Raw genomic sequence first — 18,144 nt, forward strand, 5'->3', positions numbered from 1 at the left:
TTTTTAAAAATGGATTTGATCCATCATTCTACTAACGTGTTATGAATCTCCTACAACTTCCAAAGTCAAAAAGGACTGAACTGATGGTGAGGAGTTCTAGGAAGCTGAGGCTGCACTGCATGGCCACCAATGGTGGGTATTTTCTGTTCTACTTGAAACCATAGCCTGGCTAATTTTTATTTTAGTTTAGTTTTTGACTCAGTTAAATTTATTTCAAACCTTAAGCCTATGGGTCACACTTATTTCAAGCAATTTCATTTTCTTAAGAGTCAGGCTGTTGTGTCTTTGCCTCTCAAAAGTCAGCAGCCGTTGAAAAGGTACTTGTTCCAATCAATAACCATTTGAAAACAGAAATAGATATTTAAGATGAGTCTGTGTGGAATTGCTCCTTTTAAGACATCTTTCTCAAAAGCAACCTTTCCACCTATCAACATTACACTGTAAATGGGCCCATTTAGGAGAATCCTTCAAGTTTCTATTATAGAATATCTCAATCTGATGAGGCCTGGCTGGTGACATGTGAGATCCATTTCAGAAATAAAGCACCTGTCCCCGAATTGGATGTGGAGCTAAGGTAATGCTGTGTGAGAAGCTGTTCAGCAAGGGGAAAATTCACACTAGGTGAGCAATCAATTACTGAAGAGGTTATCCATCCCAATGCATTCATTTTATAGCACATAAACTGAAGCCCAGAGTGCCATATGGTTCACTGGGATCAATGCCAGGATCCGAATCCAGGTCCCCTGACTCCCAGCCCAGTGTTCATTTCTCCTCTTATAACATCTGTTACTCCTGCTGGGCAGCAGACTCCTCAGGGGCAGTGACCCACCTCTTCCATCTTGTTCACTTAGGTATCCCCCCACATAGAGAGGTGACAATCAAAAATATCTGTTCGTCAATAAGTTAACCGTACTCAGGTTAAGCCGCTGTTGGTCACTCAGGTTTTATGCAGAGCTGAACATCAGAGTAAAAGGTCTCAACAGAAAAAAAAAAAAATCACCAACCCATAAATACATGGTTTATGATCTCTGAAAATACTAGAAACTCTAAACACGATTTCCAGGGTGGAAGCCTTGGGAACAGCAGCCACAGAGCCTCCTCTTGTGAAGAGATCCAAGCCGGAGTTCTATTGTCATGGGGTTGGCAGGCACCACACCCCTAGCCATCTATATAGCTTGAGAGCAAAAGTTTCCACACTGCCTCTAAGTCAGTTTTAACCAACTTGAATCCTCCTCAAAATATTTAACAGCCTCTCTCCTTTTCCCAAACACTGTAACTGCTAAGCTTCCTTTCATCTTTCCATAATCAAACCTGCCTAAAGTTTTTTAGTAAGTTGAAATCACGTGTTCTTTTGCACATTAACAATCCATTCCATCCCCCAGGGAACAGCCTTTGCCAGAGTATGAAGGAACTCCAAGGAGTTAGGGTTGGAAATTGGCATTAGCCACAGCTGAAGTTAGTTTTTTCAAGCAAAACCCTGTGAAGTTCTTCATTTTGCTGAAAACCATGTGCTGGCTTAATGCCTTTTTGTTCTGGTTGAGACCAAATGCTTCTCAAATGAGTCTGCTAGAAGGGTCTTTAGTGAGAACTGTATTCCCTCTTAGCATTCTTCAATTTGCATTTGGTTTGGGTTAATTGGTTAATGGTGAAAATAAGTACTTACATCGATTGCCCCTAAATCAGGAGTTGCTGCTGCTGCTTCTGCTATATCCCATCATGACAGCCTGCTGTTACTCACAGCTGGCAGATACTGTAAACTGTGTTGCCACGTCAGCTGCCCAGAACCTTTCTGCTTCAGCAGCAGTTTCCCATCGGAATGGCTTAATAGGCAGCTCCTGAGGCTGGAAACATGATCTGACCACCATATTGAGAAGGTCTGAAAAAAGAGGCCACTCTCTGACATTACAGAAACCACACACTCCCCTTTGTATTTCTAAATGAGAGTTCCAAAGAGAACCTAACTGTTACATTGAATTCCTAAACAATCAGGGCAGCAAGTTAATAATTGGGAAAAAATTCCATCGGGATTAGACATTGAAAAAGTGAAAATTAGGAACTCAGCATAACAGATGTTAGTTCATTATAAAATTGTTAGTTTGGAGTAGCAAAAAAGTGAAGATGTGAATGCTCATGAATAAAGAAATAGTTGGATAAATAATGAGATATTTATGTTGTGAAGCATTAGGATACCTAATAACAAATAATAAAGCTATGCCAGTTGACTTGGAAGGGTTTCTATGACATATTATTGAGTGAAAAGGTATATTATCCCACATGCCATTATATATGCATATACAGAATTATTTCAGTTTATTTATGAGTATGTAGGTATCAAAGAAGACTATTTATATAATCAGAAGAAATAATAAAGCTGTCTTTATTAGGTAAGAATCACTGACAAGTGGTAACTTGCCTGAACTCTTAGGCTTCCAAGCCCTCTGCTGAATCTTAAATGGATCTGGGTTTTTCCTCTCTCTGTTCCAAACACACAAAAGAATCCTAAAGATGTCTTCTGCTTATCTGGAAAAGACAAGCCACGCAAAAGAGACAATGTAAAATCCTCTTCCAGCCCAGACCTCACACAGCCCTTCCCTCTTTTGAGATTGTTCTCAGAGGCAGGTCAACTCTTCACGTCCTTTCTACAGAGGCAGGGACCCCAGAACATGTTGTTGACAGTGCTGTTCAATCCATACTGTCTCAGATAGTGCCTCCAGGGGTGATTCAGAAATTATTTTAAAAACTACCGATTGCAGAAAAGAGGAGACTTAGAATTGATCAACCAATCCCTGCATTTTAGCACCAGCCAAAAACTGGGAAATAAGCACTTATTGATCAATGACCAAATAACCAATGCATCTTACATAATTAGAACATAAGAGAGGTCACTATGTATTTCTCAGCCACTTTTTTGAATTAAAATGAAGTGAGCTGGGCAAGGTGGTTCATGCCTGTAATCCCAGCATTTTGGGAGGCTGAGCCAGGCAGATCGCTTGAGCCCAGGAGTTTGAGATCAGCCTGGGCAACATGGTGAAACCCCATCTCTACTAAAATTATAAAAATTAGCCCTGTGCGATGGCGTGCACCTGTACTCCCAGCTACCTGGGGGGCTGAGGTTGAGAGGCATGAGGTCAAGAATTCAGTGAGTCAAGATCACACCACTTCACTCCAGCCTGGGTGACAGAGTAAGACCTTGTCTCAAAAAAAGAAAATTATGTGAGGCATATGAATGTACTTGGATGTTAAATTATCTTAATTATATAGACAACAGAAGCTTTTTTTAATGGGGAAAATTATAGAAAATTCAAGTTTTCACTCACCTTAATGGCTGTGTATGAAGTACATACAAGTGTGAAGCAGAAGGCACATATGTATTGGGTATTTATTACCCTGGAATGGAGGAAGTTCTCAATGTTAAATAGGGAAGAGTCCTGATTTGGGTAAAATTTCTGAATTGTACAACTGTTTCCAAAATAACTTTTTAGGAGCTGTTCCAAGGTGGCCAAATAGGAACAGCTCCAGTCTGCAGCTCCCAGCGTGATTGATGCAGAAGACAGGTGATTTCTGCATTTCCAACTGAGGTACCTGGTTCATCTCACTGGGACTGGTCGGACAGTGGATGCAGTCCACAGAGGGCAAGCCAAAGCAGGGCAGGGCATCACCTCACCCAGGAAGCACAAGGGGTCGGGGGATTTCCCTTTCCTAACCAAAGGAAGCCGTAACAGACTGTACCTAGAAAAACGGGACACTGCCGCCCAAATATTGCATTTTTCCCAAGGTCTTAGCAACCAGCAGACAAGGAGATTCTCTCCTGTGCCTGGCTCAGTGGATCCCACGCCCACGGAGCCTTGCTCACTGCTAGCACAGCAGTCTGAGATCAATCTGTGAGGTGGCAGCCTGGCTGGGGGAGGAGAGTCTGCCATTGCTGAGGCTTGAGTAGGTAAACAAAGCAGCCAGGAAGCTCGAATTGGGTGGAGCCCACTGCAACTTAGCAAGGCCTCTGTCTCTATAGACTCCACCTTTATGGGCAGGGCATAGCTGAACAAAAGGCAGCAGACAGCTTCTGCAGACATAAATGTCCCTGTCTGACAGCTCTGAAGAGAGCAGTGATTCTCCCAGCATGGTGTTTGAGCTCTGAGAACGGACAGACTGCCTCCTCAAGTGGGTCCCTGATCCCTGTGTAGCCTAACTGGGAGATAAGACGCCTCCCAGTAGGGGCCAAGAGACACCTCATATAGGCGGGTGCCCCTCTGGGACAAAGCTTCCAGAGGAAAGACCAGGCAGCAATATTTGCCGTTCTGCAATATTTGCTGTTCTGGAGCCTCCACTGGTGACACCCAGGTACACAGAGTCTGGAGTGGACCTCCAGCAAACTCCAACAGACCTACAGCTGAGGGACCTGACTGTTAAAAGGAAAACTAGCAAACAGAAAGGAATAGAACCAACATCACCAAAAAGGACATCTACACCAAAATCCCATCTGTAGGTCACCAACATCAAAGACCAAAGGTAGACAAAAACACAAAGATGGGGAGAAACCGGAACAGAAAAGCAGAAAAATCTAAAAACCAGAGCACCTCTTCTCTTCCAAAGGATCGCAGCTCTTTGCCAGCAATGGAACAAAGCGGGACAGAGAATGACTTTGATGAGTTGACAGAAGTAGACTTCAGGAAGTCGGTAATAACAAACTTCTCCGAGCTAAAGGAGCATGTTCAAACCCATCGCGAGGAAGCTAAAAACCTTGAAAAAAGGTTAGACGAATGGCCAACTAGAATAAACAGTGTAGAGAAAATCTTAAATGACCTGATGGAGCTGAAAACCATGGCACAAGAACTTCATGACGCATGCACAAGCTTCAATAGCCAATTCGATCAAGTGGAAGAAAGGGTATCAGTGATTGAAGATCAAATTAATGAAATGAAATGAAAAGACAAGGTTAGAGACAAAAGGGTAAAAAGAAATGAACAAAGCCTCCAGGAAATATAAGACTATGTGAAAAGACCAAATCTACATTTGATTGGTGTACCTAAAAGTGATGGGGAGAATGGAACCAAGTTGGAAAACACTCTTCAGGACATTATCCAGGAGAAATTCCCCAATCTAGCAAGGCAGGCCAACATTCAAATTCAGGAAATACAGAGAACGCCACAAAGATACTACTCGATAAGAGCAACTCCAAGACACATAATTGTCAGATTCACCAAAGTTGAAGTGAAGGAAAAAATGTTAAGGGCAGCCAGAGAGAAAGGTTGGGTTACCCACAAAGGGAAGCCCATCAGACTAACAGTGGATCTCTTGGCAAAAACCCTACAAGCCAGAAGAGAGTCAGGGCCAATATTCAACATTCTTAAAGAAAGGAATTTTCAACCCAGAATTTCATATCTAGCCAAACTAAGCTTCATAAGTGAAGGAGAAATAAAATCCTTTACAGACAAGCAAATGCTGAGAGATTTTGTCACCACCAGGCCTGCCTTACAAGAGCTCCTGAAGGAAGCACTAAACATGGAAAGGAGCAACCAGTACCAGCCACTGCAAAAACAAACCAAAATGTAAAGACCATCAATGCTAGGAAGAAACTGCATCAATTAACGGGCAAAATAACCAGGTAACATCATAATGACAGGATCAAATTCACACATAACAATATTAACCTTAAATGTAAATGGGCTAAATGCCCCATTTAAAAGACACAGACTGGCAAATTGGATAAACAGTCAAGACCCATCAGTGTGCTGTATTCAGGAGACACATCTCAGGTGCAGAGATGCACACAGGCTCAAAATAAAGGGATGGAGGAAGCTCTACCAAGCAAATGGAAAGCAAAAAAAAGCAGGGGTTGCAATCCAACTCTCTGGTAAAACAGACTTTAAACCAACAAAGATCAAAAGAGACAAAGAAGGCCATTACATAATGCTAAAGGGATCAATTCAACAAGAAGAGCTAACAATCCTAAATATATATGCACCCAATACGTGAGCACCCAGATTCATAGAGCAAGTCCTGAGAGACCTACAAAGAGACTTAGACTCCCACCCAATAATAATGGGAGACTTTAACACCCCAGTGTCAATATTAGACAGATTAACGAGACAGAAGGTTAACAAGGATATCCAGGACTTGAACTCAGCTCTGCACCAAGCAGACCTAATAGACATCTACAGAACTCTCCACTCCAAGTCAACAGAATATACATTCTTCTCAGCACCACGTTGCACTTATTCCAAAATTGACCACATAGTTGGAAGTAAAGCACTCCTCAGCAAATATAAAAGAATAGAAATTACAACCAACTGTCTCTCAGACCACAGTGCAATCAAATTAGAACTCAGGATTAAGAAACTCACTCAAAACCACACAACTACATGGAAACTGAACAACCTGCTCCTGAATGACTACTGGGTACATAACGAAATGAAGGCAGAAATAAAGATGTTCTTTGAAACCAATGAGAACAAAGACACAACATACAATCTCTGGGACACATTTAAAGCAGCATGTAGAGGGAAATTTATAGCACTAAATGCCCACAAGAGAAAGCAGGAAAGATCTAAAAGTGACACCCTAACGTCGCAATTAAAAGAACTAGAGAAGCAAGAGCAAACACATTCAAAAGCTAGCAGAAGGCAAGAAATAACTAAGATCAGAGCAGAACTGAAAGAGATAAGAGACACAAAAAACCCTTCAGAAAATCAATGATTCCAGGAACTGATTTTTTGAAAAGATCAACAAAATTGATAGACTGCTAGCAAGACTAATAAAGAAGAAAAGAGAGAAGAATCAAATAGATGCAATAAAAAATTATAAAGGGGATATCACCACCAATCCCACAGCAATACAAACTACCATCAGAGAATACTATAAACACCTCTATGCAAATAAACTGGAAAATCTAGAAGAAATGGATACATTCCTGGACACACACAACCTTCCAAGACTAAACCAGGAAGAAGTTGAATCTCTGAATAGACCAATAACAGGCTCTGAAATTGAGGCAATAATTAATAGCCTACCAACCAAAAAAAGTCCAGGACCAGACAGACTCACAGCTGAATTCGACCAGAGGTACAAAGAGGAGCTGGTACCATTCCTTCTGAAACTATTCCAATCAATAGAAAAAGAGGGAATCCTCCCTAACTCATCTTATGAGACCAACATCATCCTAATAGCAAAGCCTGGCAGAGACACAACAAAAAAACAGAATTGTAGACCAATATCCCTGATGAACATCGATGCGAAAATCCTCAATAAAATACTGGCAAAGCAAATCCAGCAGCACATCAAAAAGCTTATCCACCACGATCAAGTGGGCTTCATCCCTGGAATGCAAGGCTGGTTCGACATATGCAAATCAATAAACGTAATCCATCACATAAACAGAAACAACAAAAAACCACATGATTATCTCAATAGATGCAGAAAAAGACTTCGACAAAATTCAACAGCACTTTGTGCTAAAAACTCTCAATAAACTAGGTATTGATGGAACATATTGCAAAATAATAAGAGCTGTTTATGACAAACCCACAGCCAATATCATACTGAATGGGCAAAAACTGGAAGCATTCCCTTTCAAAACTGGCACAAGACAAGGAAGCCCTCTCTCACCACTCCTGTTCAACATAGTGTTGGAAGTTCTGGCCAGGGCAATCAGGCAAGAGAAAGAAACAAAGGGTATTCAATTAGGAAAAGAGGAAGTCAAATTGTCCCTGTTTACAGATGACATGATTGTATATTTGGAAAACCCCATTGTCTCAGCCCAAAATCTCCCTAAGCTGATAAGCAACTTCAGCAAAGTCTCAGGATACAAAAGCAATGTGCAAAAATCACAAGCATTCCTACACACCAATAACAGACAAACAGAGAGCCAAATCATGAGTGAACTCCCATTCACAATTGCTTCAAAGAGAATAAAATACCTGGGAATCCAACTTACAAGGGATGTGAAGGATCTCTTTAAGGAGAACTACAAACCACTGCTCAAGGAAATAAAAGAGGACACAAACAAATGGAAGAACAGTCCATGCTCATGGATAGGAAGAATCAATATTGTGAAAATGGCCATACTGCCCAAGGTAATTTGTAGATTCAATGCCATCCCCATCAAGCTACCAATGACTTTCTACACAGAATTGGAAAAAACTAATTTAAAGTTCATATGGAACCAAAAAAGAGCCCGCATTGCCAAGACAATCCTAAGCAAAAAGAACAAAGCTAGAGGCATCACTCAACCTGACTTCAAACTATACTACAAGGCTACAGTAACCAAAACAGCCTGGTACTGGTACCAAAACAGATACATAGACCAATGGAACAGAACAGAGGCCTCAGAAATAACACCACACGTCTACAACCATCTGATCTTTGACAAACCTGACAAAAACAAGCAATGGGGAAGGGATTCCCTATTTGATAAATGGTGCTGGGAAAACTGGCTAGCCATGTGTAGAAAGCTGAAACTGGATCCCTTCCTTACACCTTATACAAAAATTCATTCAAGATGGATTAAAGATTTAAATGTTAGACCTAAAACCATAAAAACCCTAAAAGAAAACTTAGGCAATACGATTCAGGACATAGGCATGGGCAAGGACTTCATGTCTAAAACACCAAAAGCAATGGCAACAAAAGCCAAAATAGACAAATGGGATCTAATTAAACTAAAGAGCTTCTGCATGGCAAAAGAAACTACCATCAGAGTGAACAGGCAACCTACAGAATGGGAGAAAATTTGTGCAATCTATCCAACTGACAAAGGTCTAATATCCAGAATCTACAAAGGACTCAAACAAATTTACAAGAAAAAAACAAACAACCTCATCAAAAAGTGGGTAAATGATAAGAACAGACACTTCTCAAAAGAAGACTTTTATGCAGCCAACAGACACATGAAAAAATGCTCATCATCACTGGTCATCAGGGAAATGCAAATCAAAACCACAATGAGATACCATCTCACTCCAGTTAGAATGGCAATCATTAAAAAGCCAGGAAACAACAGATGCTGGAGAGGATGTGGGGAAATAGGAATGCTTTTACACTGTTTGTGGGAGTGTAAACTAGTTCGACCATTGTGGAAGACAGTGTGGCATTTCCTCAAGGATCTAGAACTAGAAATACCATTTGACCCAGCAATTGCATTTCTGGGTATATACCCAAAGGATTATAAATCATGCTACTATAAAGACACATGCACACATATGTTTACTGCGGCACTATTGACAATAGCAAAGACTTGGAACCAACCCAAATGCCCAACAATGATAGACTAGATTAAGAAAATGTGGCACATATACACCATGGAATACTATGCAGCCATAAAAAAGATGAGTTTATGTCCTTTGTAGGGACATAGATAAAGCTAGAAACCATCATTCTCAGCAAACTATCACAAAGACAGAAAACCAAACACCACATGTTCTCACTCATAGGTGGGAACTGAACAATGAGAACACATGGACACAGGGTGGGAAACATCACATACTGGGGCCTGTTGGGGGTTGGGGGGCTGGGGGAGGGATAGCATTAGGAGAAATACCTAATGTAAATGACGAGTTGATGGGTGCAGCAAACCAACATGACACATGTCTACCTATGTATCAAAACTGCACGTTGTGCACATGTACGCTAGAACTTAAAGTATAATAACAAAAAAAAGAAAAAGAAATAACTTTTTAAAAAGAAATGTTCTTTTACTTCCACTACAAAAATAATTCAAAGTAGAGTCCTAAACATTTTTTGTAATCCTAAAGTATCTTGTCTCAGTTTGTATGGGCTGCTGTAACAAAATATCATAGGTTGTGTGGCTTATAAACAGCTGTTTAGTCCTCACAGTTCTGGCATCTCAAAAGTCCAAGCTCGAGAGGATGGCAGATTGAGTGTTTCGTGAAGACCCATTCCTCATATGCAGACATCTCACTGTGACCTCGCATGGTGGAAAGGATGACTGAGATCCCTCAGGCCTCTTTTGTAAGGGCATTAATCCCATTAATAATGGTTCCACCCTCATGACCTAATCACCTCCCAAAGTCCCCACCTCCTGATACCATTACCTTGGGAGTTAGGATTTCAACATATTAATTGTGGGGGAAAACAAACAATCAAACCATAGCACTTATCTCTAATTCAACCCATAATTTTAGACAGAAATAATCAGAGATTCAGGCCAGGCACAGCGGCTTTTACCTGTAATCCCAGCACTTTGGGAGGCTGAGGCAGGCAAATCACTTGAGCTCAGGAGTTCAAGACTAGCCTGGGCAACAGGGCGAATCCCTCTCTCTACAAAAAATACAAAAATTAGCCAGGCATAGTGGTGTGCCTATTGTCCCAGCTACTTGGGAGGCTGAGGTGGGAGGATCACTTGAACCCAAGAGGTTGAGGCCACAGTGAGCTGTTATCACACCAGTGCATTCCAGCCTGGACAGCAAAATGAAACCCTGTCTCAAAAAAAATAAAATAAATTAGAGATTCAGAAAGGTTAAATAACTTGCCAAGGTCGCACAGTAGAACTCAGGGCTTTTGGCTCTCAAAGATCCCAAAACATCGTGCTGCAAATATTAAAAGCAGTTCTTGTGGAAAGTGGCTTGTCATAATTAGAAAAGACACTCATAATTACCATATTCTTGCTTTGTGTGCAAAGAGCACTTCCTGAGATTTATGCAAAGAATAATTAAATATGGCCTGCATTTGCCATCTTGTCTCGCAATTAGTTTATTCTCCTTTAGGTTGTTCATAATTACTCAACTAGACGAAATTAAGGATACAAGTAGATATCCATAAAGAGCAGAATGTGAACAAATGCCAAGTGTGTGATATCAACATTAAGTGCTGTGAGAGGTCAGCAGTGGGAGATGAATTCAAATTAACTTGGGGTGGTGGAGAACAAAAGATTCGTGAAAAAAGAAATAAGAAGGAATATTAAAAGATTTCTTACCTGCGAATGTTGCACATATTTAAGAACATTTGTATTACACAGGCTCCTATTTGATAATATTGAGCTTTAGTTTACATGGAACTTGTGACCCCCAATCCTAAGACAATATTGCAACCTCATTTCCCACACATGTCCCCTATTTAAAAAGAGACACATTTGGAATATGTGCAAAAAGCGTACATCCACATACTCATAGACCTGCATTTTCTTTGGTTCAGACAGCTTGGATAAATTAGGGAAGTTACTAGACTTGTCTGCATGTAACTAAACAATAGAATAAAAATGAAAGCAGGAGGCTGAAGCAGGAGAATCACTTGAACCTGGGAGGCAGAGGTTGCAGTGAGCCAAGATCGTGCCATTGCACTACAGCCTGGGCGACAGAGCGAGACTTTATCTCAAAAAAAGAAAAGAAAAAGAAAGGCTGGGCACGGTGGCTCACACCTGTAACCCCAACACTTTGGGAGGCCAAGGCAAGAGGATTGCTTGAGTCCAGAAGTTCGAGACCAGCCTGAGGGACATAACAAGACCCCCATTTCTAAAACAAAAACAAACCAAAAAAAAAGTGAAAAATGCAATAACTGGGCCAGGCGTGGTGGCTCACACCTGTAATCCCAGCACTTTGGGAGGCAGAGGCAGGCGGTCAAGAGATCGAGACCATTCGGGCCAACATGGTGAAACCCTGTCTGTACTAAAAATACAAAAATTAGCTGGGTGTGGTGGCACACGCCTGTAGTCCCAGCTACTTGGGAGGCTGAGGCAGGATAATTGCTCAAACCCAAAAGGCGGAGGTTGCAGTAAGCCAAGATCACACCACTGCACTCACGCCTGGCGACAGAGCATGACTCCGTCTCAAAAACAAACAAACAAACAAAATGCAATAACTGATGTGCTTCTAAATACATACTTTTGGGTGTCATAGGCACATCCTTTCCAACATCACCAGCAGATTGGAAGTATTAGCTCAGACTTCACTAAACCAAAACCCATGGCAGAAAATAATAAGTATAAATGTTTCTTCTCGAAAGAATTTTAATCTCCAATACTTAAGCTAAATTACTTATTTACAATAGACGAGAAATCTCACGTTTATCCACCACGAGTCTGAGTCAAGTATTGGGAAAACATCTTGAACTCCTCAGGAGTGACTATGTAAAATGTGAAAAGCCCCTTTTTAGAGCAAAGGCAGTATATCACATGGTTATGTGTGTGGGCTCTGAAGACATACTGCCAGGCTGGGTCCTGGTTCTGCCACTCTCTAGTTCCATGATATCAGGTAAATCATTGAATCTCTCTGGGCCTCAGCTTCCTTATCTGTGAAATGGGGTTAGTAGTAACTACCTCAAAGGTTGTTGTGAAGAGTGATTGAATCATTACCAGTAAAGCATTTAGACTATTGCTGCAGCCTATGGTCTATACCTCTAACTTAATAGTAATTAGTAAATTGTTATGCTATTATTTAACAATTGTTGAGTGCTTACAGTTTGTCAGCTTTATGCTGTTTTTTATATGTATATAATTTTATGCAATCCACACAGCAGCCCTTTGATGTAGCTACTGTCATCCATCCCCTTCTATTATAGGTGAGAAAACTGAAGCTCAGAGAAGGTGGGTAATTTGCTCAATGGCCCACAGCTAGCAAGGATAGAACCAGACTTTGAGTCGGCTGGGTGCGGTGGCTCATGCCTGTAATCCCAGCACTTTGGGAGGCCGAGGCAGACGGATCACGAGGTCAGGAGATCAAGACCATCCTGGCTAACATGGTGAAACCCCATCTCTACTAAAAATACAAAAAATTAGCCAGGCGAGGTGGCGGGCGCCTGTAGTCCCAGCTACTCGGGAGGCTGAGGCAGGAGAATGGCATAACCCGGAAGGTGGAGCTTGCAGTGAGCTGAGATCGCGCCACTGCACTCCAGTCTGGGCGACAGAGCAAGACTCCGTCTCAAGAACCAGACTTTGAGTCTAGGTCTAGTATGAATCAAGAGCTTGAACTTTTAATCCCTGTTTATACTTCCTCCCAAGTCAGCAGTTCAAAAATATACAACATAGACCCATTCCTCTGCTCATCCATTCACTGGTTCATTCGCTGAGAGCTGGCTGTGTGCCAGGCACTGTCCCTGGTGTAGTGGGTGTAGAGGTGAAACAGATAGACCAGAAGGGTGCTGCCTGCATGGAGCCTAGGCACCAGGGAGGGAGGGAGGGAGACAAGAGAACAAAAATAAACCCATCATGTAATGCCAGCGGGGGTAAGTGCATAAGGAAGGGTCAGAGGATAGAGAGCATCAGGGCCCGGATGGGAGGCTATTTTAGGCAGAGAAGTCAGGGAATACTTCTTTGAGAAGTGGAAATGAATCCGGTGAGGGGTTTTTCGTGGCAAGAATGGCAGGGGGAAATGTAGAAGACAGAGTGACTGTAAGTGCAAACGTCTGGAGGCAGAAATGAGCTGTGCCTATTGGAAGAGTGAGGAGGCAGAGATACTAGAGGGAGTTGGTTTGGAGAGAGAAGGTGTAAAATAGCCTCTCAAAGAATAGGAAAGTGAATTAACTAGGGAAATGAGGCAGCACTGCCAGGCACCACTGAGAATCCACTTGCACTCTGTGCATAAAATTAAGACCAGTAAGTCAGCTATGTATTTTTATCCAGCCACACTCTGAGATTTGGTGCCAGGATGCAGACCTGAATTGGTGAGTAGATTTTTATCAGGTCTGGGGTTTGCCAGGGGAAAGCATCGGAGAAACACGAGAGCCAGGGAGTTGAACAGGGACCATGGACTCAGGCTGGGAAAGGAAGGATAAAAGGGGAACCTGAGGGTCATGATGGACAACGAAAAAGTATATGGATTAGGGAACCTGGTGAGGCCAGATGATGGTCAGAGTTGGGGTTCTAGAGGGAGGAACTGGAAGTGAGGAGGTGGTGGTCAGAGTAGGATGCCAGAAATCCACATTTTTGAGGTTGGAACAAATACTAGGAAAGCCAATCACCATAGCATGACTGAGAGCGGGTGGCTGAGGGAGGAGGAAGGGCTGCTGGCTCTAAGGAAGGTAAGAAATCAAGAGGCCAGAATACTACCTGCATCACCAGCTTCTCCAACCTGGCCACATTCTAGAATGACCTGGGAGCTCTTAAAAAAGGCACATGCCATCTCGGTGTGGGGACTCACACCTGTAATCCCAGCACTTTGGGTGACCGAGGCAGGTGGATCACTTGAGGTCAGGAGTTTGAGACCAGCCTCGCCAATGGTGAAACCCTGTTTCTACCAAAAAGTACAAAAATTAGCCGGGCATGGTGGTGTGTGCCTATAGTCCCAGCTACTCGGGAGGCTGAGGTGGTGAATTGCTTGAACCCAGGAGGGAGAGGTTGCAGTAAGCCAAGATGGCGCCACTGCACTCCAGCCTGGGTGACAGACTGAGACCCTGTCTCAAAAAATAAAATAAAATAAAAATACACATGCCTCCAACTCCCCAAAGATTCAGGCTTAATTGGGAAGAAACAGGGAAAGAGGAGAGAAGCTTAATGGTGGGCATTTTTAAAATCTTCCCAGACAATTGTAAAGCGCAGCCAGGGGTGGGACTGACTGAATTACGTGGACAATGCAATCACCAAGAGAAGAGCAAAGGAGAGCCGGCAGGGGCTCAAAGCTTCACTCAGTGGGAAGAGTGACAGCAGGCTGGTAAGAGGCCATGGCACAAGAGGCTTACACAGATTCCCATGGCCTGTGCTTCCAAGCTCGGGGGAGGGTTAGGGAGAAGCATAGCCTGGGAGTGGCCATGAGGAGCAATGCAGATACCTACCCCACCATCAGGCCCTGGTACATTTGAGGGGTGTCCCCCTGTCCCCAGGAGCTAGTCGGGCATCATTTAGAGCACAACAGTGAGGTTGAGGATATAGAGGAAGGGGCTAGGGGTCAGGCGCCTGGGAGATGAAGTCAAATAAAGAACCATACAGAGCTGTGTAGGGGAAGGGCCTGGGAGCCTTGTACTCAGGTAATCACCAGGTAGGGCACAGCGGGATTAGGATCAAGGCCTTTTAGGTGAAGGTGGGTAATCTATTCTAATTAGAGCTTCTCTTTTGTATTTTATTTAGACTCTTGGGCAGCATATTAGTTTCCTGTGGCTGCCATAACAAATTACCACAAACTTTGTAGCCTAAAACAACAGAAATGTATTCTCCAATGATTCTGAAGCCCAGAAGTCTGGAATCGAGGTGTGGGCAGGGTCACGCTCCCTCTGCAGCCTCTAGAGGAGAACCCTTTCCTGCCTCTTCTGGCTTCGGGTGGCTCCCAGCCAGCCTTGACATTCTCTGGCTTGTAGCTGCATCAGCCCAATTTCTGCCTCCATCTTCACACGGCCATCTTCCTTCTGTGTGTGGCCAAATCCCTCTCTCTCCTTACAAAGATGGCAGACACTGGATTTATGCCTTGAGCCAATCCAGTATGGCCTAATCTTAACTTGATTACATTTGCAAATACCCTATTTCCAAATAAGGTCACATTCACATATACCACAGGCTAGAACTTCAACATATCTTTTGGGGGACACAATTCAACTCACAGCAGGCAGTTGGTGAAAGCGATGTGACATCTGGGAATGGGGTTCCCACCTAAATAACACCAGCTCTTTGGGCCACTATGAATTCCACTGAGAGGGTGTCACAGCCAGAAGAGCGTCAGCCATAGGCCTCCTTTCTGGCCCTCTGTGTCAGGGCAGGGGAAAGACAGTCTCAGCAGGCACAAACACAGCTCCATGGGCCTCCTCAAACCCACTTGAGAGAGAAAACAAAGCTCCACCGGGAAAATGCATCGTCACAGTGGATAAACAAGTAAACTCTCTGTTCATAGCAGGTCAGCAGTGTCTTTGAATACACATATTGCATATATTTGATGAGAAGCCACAATCTGACAAGAGAATGAAAGCCTAAAAAATGTCCTGCTAGCTCATCATTAGCAACAAGCAGTGAAACTGGACCAATCAAGACAACAAAAATAACCTGTGTTGTGTGGCAGAAGCTAATTTCGTTAAATGGGTAAAGTACTCCATCTATCAATTATCAAGAATTAAGTGCCTAATATTGCAATGTTAACACAGGAAAAATAAAATGCCCAGCGCCCTCCTGTGCTTACCCACTAGTTGGGGATGTGAAGAAAACTAGAGCCACATATTAAAGACAGGGTATAGTTAATTGTTAAATTTTATGATGTAGATAGACTCAATAACACAGAAATACAAAAATAGGAGAGATCAAAGATTGAGGATTACTCAATAACACAGAAATACAAAAATAGGAGAGATCAAAGATTGATGATTACTCAAATTGGGCTTTCTGGAGTTTGGTATTTCCATTCTGTATATTCCAGTCACCAGGCTGGCTGGACCCTAAACCCTCTACATTCACCCTGAGAGAGTCTCAGCATTCCTGTTTTACAGGTGAAGAAACCAAGATTCACAGACATGAAGTGGCTTGCCCAAGGTCAGATAGCAAAAATTTCCAAGTCGAGAATTGAGCACAAGTCTTTATCCCCAATTCCAAGGCTTTTTCTACAATGCACTGAAGGATGAGTAGGGTCTGGATAGGTAAGGGAAAACAAGAAGAGTGGTTCATGTATGGGAAATAGGATTAATATTTTATTATTACATTTAGCTCATCAGCTCCTGAGAGCTGGCCTGAATCCCCAGATGAGAAGCGGCTGTCAGTCTCTTAAAATATCTGCTCTTAAAATATCTGGGTCAGTGAGAAGAGGATCACAAGGTCTCCTTGTGGTTATTTTTAACTTAAAAAATATAACCTTTAAAGCAAAAGAGAGGATAAAAATGAAATTAATAAATAAATCAGAATTTTTACAAGCTGAAGTCAAAAGAGAGCTGTTCTATAGGAAGAGCAGGTTATTGACCCTGATTTGGAAGCTGTAGGGAGGTATCCTTGGTGGATCACAGTGGTTCCTGGCTCCATCATATCTGTAAAGGGTGGCCTGGAATCAGAAAATGGACCTGAGACATGAGCAGAAATGCAAAGCAGGAAACGTGCAAGGGCTAGTGCCACTCCCTCACACTGCCTCCAGAAAGGCATTGCCCTTCACCCTTTCTTGAGAGAAGAAAGGGAGGAAGAAATTCAGCAAACCTGTCCCAGCTTCTACCACTGGCTCTCGCAATTTTCAGAACAAAAGGAAAGGAAGGGGAATCTTTTAAGCAAGCGTGGTATGTTACGTGAAAGTGGCACCAATTGACATGTAAATGCTGTTTTAATATTGAGAAAGATATTCTGAGCACTGCTTTATGTTCATTGTGACAAATTAGCAATAACACTAACGCCCTGCACAGCTTTTCCATCAAGTCAAAGGTACTAGGAATGAGGAAGGAATTCTAGTTGTAAGTGCCAGAAAATATGTCCCCCTCAAAGGGAGAGGTTCCTGCAAAGCACCCCACTGTGTCACATGTCAACGCAGCACATGAAAACAGTAGGTTTCCCTCAGGTCTGAGGCAAGACAGGCACTTTCCTGCACTGAATCCCATGCAGGGGAAAAAGTATCACATATAATAGAAGTCCCGCATCTAAGGAATTGACTCCTTGGTCGCATCTCTAATCCAAGACCTGGATCATAGCAAGTTTCACCATTAGCTGAACATCATTGAAGGACAGGACTAACATATACAATGCAGCAAGTCAAATATGCGAATCTATGGCTATCTGAGGACTGAATTGCTAAGGGAGTTCTGAGACAGAAAGATCAATATAAGCTGGCTTCACTGAGGAAATGAGCCTTCAACTGGACCCTGAATGGATACAACTTGCATAGAAAGGGAATGACAGAATCTTGGTACAGGGAGACTTCTTCCTCCAGGGTCTGGCATGCACCAGACACCATGGTGGACAAGATGCATCCCGATCCCCACTTTCATAGAGCTCATAGTCTAGCAATCAGTCTACTTACAGAAGAGGGTACTGGTGGGTCATGACAAAAGCTGGCACTTATGTAGGGTCTATGATGTGCCAGGCACTATGCTAAGCGCTTCGCAAATATAATCTTATTTGATCCCCATAGCAACTCAATGATAAGGCCATTACTATTATCATCATTTTATGCATGGGAAACTGAGCTCACAGACCTAATTAGTGGTGAAGCAAAAATTCAAATCCAAGGTTTCCTGGCTTATGAGCCATTCTTTCTCCACCATACCACATGGGAAGTAAGATCAGATGAGATTGTATGATGTAGTGCTTGAAAG

At 42.6% G+C, this 18,144-nt stretch overlaps 2 protein-coding genes across 4 annotated transcripts in view; both read right to left on the reverse strand.

Moving 5' to 3' along the window:
- Window positions 1-1,742, reverse strand: part of SEC16B (SEC16 homolog B, endoplasmic reticulum export factor) — a 55,497-nt gene extending 53,755 nt beyond the window's left edge. The window contains exon 1 of the mRNA NM_001390835.1: window positions 1,664-1,742. The gene's annotated coding sequence lies outside the window, so the exon portion shown is untranslated. The remainder of the gene's footprint in view (window positions 1-1,663) is intronic.
- Window positions 1-18,144, reverse strand: part of CRYZL2P-SEC16B (CRYZL2P-SEC16B readthrough) — a 109,189-nt gene that overhangs the window by 53,755 nt on the left and 37,290 nt on the right. Inside the window, exons 7-8 of one of the 3 annotated variants that reach the window (NR_151492.2) lie at window positions 2,414-2,520; window positions 1,664-1,876 (exon numbers count right to left, since the gene is read on the reverse strand). The exons of 1 other annotated variant lie outside the window; for it this stretch is intronic. The gene's annotated coding sequence lies outside the window, so the exon portion shown is untranslated. The remainder of the gene's footprint in view (window positions 1-1,663; window positions 1,877-2,413; window positions 2,521-18,144) is intronic. One more of the 3 variants, NM_001356505.2, reaches the window with a different exon arrangement.

The sequence above is a fragment of the Homo sapiens genome, chromosome 1, assembly GCF_000001405.40.
Source record: "Homo sapiens chromosome 1, GRCh38.p14 Primary Assembly".
Classification (NCBI taxonomy): domain Eukaryota; kingdom Metazoa; phylum Chordata; class Mammalia; order Primates; family Hominidae; genus Homo; species Homo sapiens.